Source organism: Homo sapiens, chromosome 14 (genome assembly GCF_000001405.40).
Source record: "Homo sapiens chromosome 14, GRCh38.p14 Primary Assembly".
Taxonomy (NCBI): domain Eukaryota; kingdom Metazoa; phylum Chordata; class Mammalia; order Primates; family Hominidae; genus Homo; species Homo sapiens.
This window is the reverse complement of record NC_000014.9, coordinates 63,331,469-63,336,043: the sequence shown is the minus strand read 5'-3', so window position 1 is coordinate 63,336,043 and position 4,575 is coordinate 63,331,469. Positions and strand designations below refer to the sequence as shown.

General features: G+C 41.2%; 1 annotated feature.

Moving 5' to 3' along the window:
- Nucleotides 3,084-3,583: an enhancer, noted in NCBI's record as "H3K27ac hESC enhancer chr14:63799179-63799678 (GRCh37/hg19 assembly coordinates)". NCBI's record gives its function as "activates a minimal SCP1, AML or CMV promoter by ChIP-STARR-seq in naive H9 embryonic stem cells {active_cell/tissue: H9 hESC(naive)}" and the evidence as "EXISTENCE:reporter gene assay evidence [ECO:0000049][PMID:30033119]".

The window sequence follows — 4,575 nt, the reverse complement described above, 5'->3', positions numbered from 1 at the left end:
ATGATTTAGAGAGGATTCCCTCTTTCTCTATCTTGTGGAATAGTGTCAGTAGGTTTGGTACCAATTATTCTTTGAATGTCTGGTAGGATTTTGCTGTGAATCTGTCTGGCCTGGCATTTTTTTGTTGGCCATTTTTAAATTACCACTTCAATCTTGCTGCTTGCTATTGGTCTGTTCAGCGTATCTAATTCTTCCTGATTTAAGCCAGGAGGGTTGTGTCTTTCCAGGAATTTATCCATCTTCTCTAGGTTATCTAGTTTTATGTGCATAAAGGTGTTCATAGTAGCCTTGAGTGATCTTTTGTATTTCTGTGGTGTCAGTTGTAATATCTCCCATTTTGTTTCTAATTGAGCTTATATGGATTTTCTCTCTTCTCTTCTTGGTTAATCTTGTCTCTCAATTTTATTTATCTTTTCAAAGAATGAGCTTTTAAATTTATGTTTGTATTTTTTTTGTTTAAATTTCATTTAGTTCTGTTCTGATCTTGGTTATTTACTTTCTTCTGCTGGGTTTGGGTTTGGTTTGTTCTTTTTGCTCTAGTTCCTTGACATATGACCTTAGATTTTCTGTTTATGCCCTTTCAGACTTTTTGATATAGGATTTAGGGCTTTGAACTTTCCTCTTAGCACTGCCTTTGCTGTATCTCAGAGGTTTTGATAGGTTGTATCACTATTGTCATTCAGTTTGAAGAATTTTTAAATTTCCATCTTGATTTCACTGTTCACTCATTGATCATTCAGGAGCAGGTTATTTAATTTCCATGGATTTGCATGGTTTTGAAGGTTCCTTTTGGAAATGATTTCCAGTTTTATTCCTGTGAGGTCTGAGAGAGTGCTTGATATAATTTCAATTTTCTTAAACTTATTGAGGCTTGTTTTGTGGTCTATTGTTTGTTCTATCTTGGAGAATGTTTCATGTACTGATGAATAGAATGTATATTCTGCAGTTGTTGGGTAGAATGTTCTGTAAATATTAAATATCTGTTAAGTCAATTTGTTTTAGGTTTTAGTTTAAATCCATTGTTTCTTTGTTGACTTTCTGTCTTGATGGCCTGTCTAGTGCTGTCAGTGGAGTATTGAAGTCCCCCACTTTATTGTGTTGCTCTCTCTCTCACTTCTTAGGCCTAGTAATAATTGTTTTATAAATTTGGGAGCTCCAGTGTTAGGTACATATATATTTAAGATTGTAATATTTTCCTGTTGGACTAGTCCTTCTTTTTTTTTTTTTTGAGACAGAGTCTTGCTCTGTTGCCCAGGCTGGAGTGCAGTGGCACGATCTCGGCTCACTGCAAGCTCTGCCTCCCAGGTTCATGCCATTCTCCTGCCTCAGCCTCACAAGTAGCTGGGACTACAGGCGCCCACCACCATGGCCAGCTAATTTTTTGTATTTTTTTTAGTAGAGACAGTGTTTCACCGTGTCAGTCAGGATGGTCTCAATCTCCTGACCTCGTGATCCGCCCACCTTGGCTCACAAAGTTGGACTAGTCCTTTTATAATTATATAACGTCCCTCTTTGTCTCTTTTAACTGCTGTTGCTTTAAAGTTTGTTTTATCTAAGAATAGCTACTCCTGCTCACTTTTGGTGTCCATTTGCATGGAATGTATTTTTCCACCCCTTTACCTTAAGTTTATGTGAGTTCTTATGTGTTAGGTGAGTCTCTCAAAAGCAGCAGATAGTTGGTTGGTGAATTCTTATCCATTCTGCCATTCCGCATCTTTTAAGTGGAGCATTTAGGCCATTTACATTCAATGTTAGTATAGAGATGTGAGGTACTATTCCATTCATCATGCTACTTGTTGCCTGTATACCTTTTTTTTTCTTTAATTGTATTTTTGTTTTATAGGTCCTGTGTGATTTATGCTTTAAAGAGGTTCTGTTTTGATGTGTTTCCAGGATTCGTTTCAAGATTTAGAGCTCCTTTAGCAATTCTTGTAGTGATGGCTTGGTAGTGGGGAATTCTCTCAGCATTTGTTTGTCTGAAAAAGACTGTATCTTTCTTTCATTTATGAAGCTTAATTTCACTGCATACAAGATTTTTGGCTGATAATTGTTTTGTTTTAAGGAGGCTGAAGATAGGTCCCCGGTCTCTTCTAGCTTGTAGGGTTTCTGCTAAGAAATCTGCTGTTAATCTGATAGGTTTTCCTTTATAGGTTACCTGATGCTTTTGCCCCACAGCTCTTAACATTCTTTCCTTTGTTTTGACTTTAGATAAACTGATGAGTATGTGCATAGGTGATGATCTTTTTGCAATGAATTTCCCAGGTGTTCTTTGAGCTTCTTGTATTTGGGTGTCTAGGTCTCTAGCAAGGCTGGGGAAGTTTTCCTCAATTATTCTCCCAAATATGTTTTCCAAACTTTTAGATTTCTCTTCTTCCTAAGGAGCACCAGTTAGTCTTAGGTTTGGTCATTAACATAATCCCAGACTTCTTGGAGGCTTTGTTCTTATTTTTGTGTTCATTTTTCTTTGTCTTTGTTGGACTGGGTTAATTCAAAAACCTTGTCTTTGAGCTCTGTGGTTCTTTCTTCTGCTTGTTCAATTCTATTGCTGAGACTTTCCAAAGCATTTTTTTTTTGCATTTCTATAAGTGCGTCTATTGTTTCCTGAAGTTTTGATTGTTTTTTATTTATGCTATCTATTTCACTGAAGATTTCTCTCCTCATGTATCATTTTTTTTTTATTTCCTTAAGTTGGGTGTCACTTTTCTCTGGTGCCTCCTTGATTAGCTTAATAACTGACCTTCTGAATTCTTTTTCAGATAAATCAGAGATTTTTTTCTTGGTATGGATCCATTGCTGGTGAGCTAGCATGATTTTTTGGGGGTGTTAAAGAACCTTGTTTTGTCATGTTACCAGAGTTGGTTTTCTGGTTCCTTCTCATTTGGGTAGACTCTGTCAGAGGGAAGGTCTAGGGCTGAAGGCTGTTGTTCAGATTCTTTCGTCCTACAGGGTGTTCCCTTGATGTAGTATTCTCCCAGTTTTCCTAGGGATGTGTCTTCCTGAGAGCCAAGCTGTAGTGATTGCTATCTCTCTTCTGGATTGAGCCACTAGCATGTCTGCTAGGCTCTGGATTGGTACTGTGGGTTGTCTGCACAGAGCCCTGTGATGTGAACCATCTGTGGGTCTCTCAGCTGTGGATATGAGCACCTGCTCTTGTGGAGGTGGCAGAGGGATGAAATGGACTCTGTGAGGGTCTTTAGTTTTGGTTGTTTGATGCACTATTTTTGTGCTGGTTGGCCTCCTGCCAGAAGGTGGTGCTTTCAAGAGAGTATCAGCTGTGGTAGTATGGGGAGGGTCAGGTGGTGGGCAGGGCCCTAAAACTCCCAAGAATTTATGCCCTTTGTCTTCAGCTACCAGAGTGGGTAGGGAAGGACCATCAGGTGGGGGCAGGGCTAGGCGTGTCTGAGCTCAAACTCTCCTTGGGTGGGTCTTGCTGAGGCTGGTGTGGTTCCCAGGTCAATGGAGTTATGTTCCCAGGAGGATTATGGCTACCTCTGCTGTGTCATGCAGGTTGTCAGGGAAGTTGGGGAAAGATGGCAGCCACAGGCCTCACCCAGCTCCCATGCAATCCAAAAGGCCGATCTCACTCCCACCGTGCCCCTTGCAACAGCACGGAGTCTGTTTCCAGGCAGTGGGTGAGCAGGGCTGAGAACTTGCCCCAGGCTACCCGCCTCCCAGCGCAAAAGCAAGTAGGGCTCTCGTCCTTCCCTGCCTGTGGAGTCTGTACCCTGGATTCAAGCCCACCCCCGAGTTCTGGCCAGGAGACTTCTCGTTTGGTTGGAATTGCTACAAAGTTCAGGTGGAGGTTTCCTTCTCCCTGTGGCCTTTTCCCAGTGCCTCTGGCAGCCCTCCCCAAGTACTCCTGTGAGGCAAGGCAGAAATTGCTTCCTAGAGGATCCAGAGAGCTCACCGGGCTTTTCCCGCTGCTTCCTCTACCCATGTATTTCACTGGGCTCTCTAAATTGACTCAGCTCTAGGTAAGGTCAGAATCTTCTCCCATAATCTAGGCCTTCGGATTCCCCAGTGAGGGTGTGTGTTTGGGGGTGGACGATCCCCCTTTCCCATTTCCACAGTTTGGACACTCACAGTATTTGGGGTGTCTCTTGGGTCCTGCAGGAGCAATACACTTCCTTCAGAGGGCCTGTGGGTTCTCTCAGCTTTCCTGATATATTCCTGCAGTAGTTCTAGAGTAAAAGTTTATGACGCAAGACTCCACATGATGCTCTGTCTGAGTAGGAACTGCAATCTAGTCCTGCCTCCTGTCTGCCACAATCCTCCCTCTTCTCAAGATTATAAAAACTTCTATCTCCCTCTCTCATCTTTACTTAAAAACATGTCAAATCTTTTAGCACAAAAATATATTACATGGTTAAAAAGTCAAATACTATACCAAGAGTTACAATAAAAAATGGCATTCTCTTGCTCAACCTTCCCCTCTCCTCCAGGTACAGCTATCCTGGGGCAACCATTTTCAACTCTTTTTGGCTGTTTCTTTTGGAATTTACTTCTCCATTTATAAGTAATATGCCTGTACTGCTATTTATCAATTTATAAATTTTAGGCTTTATTTGTTGACTT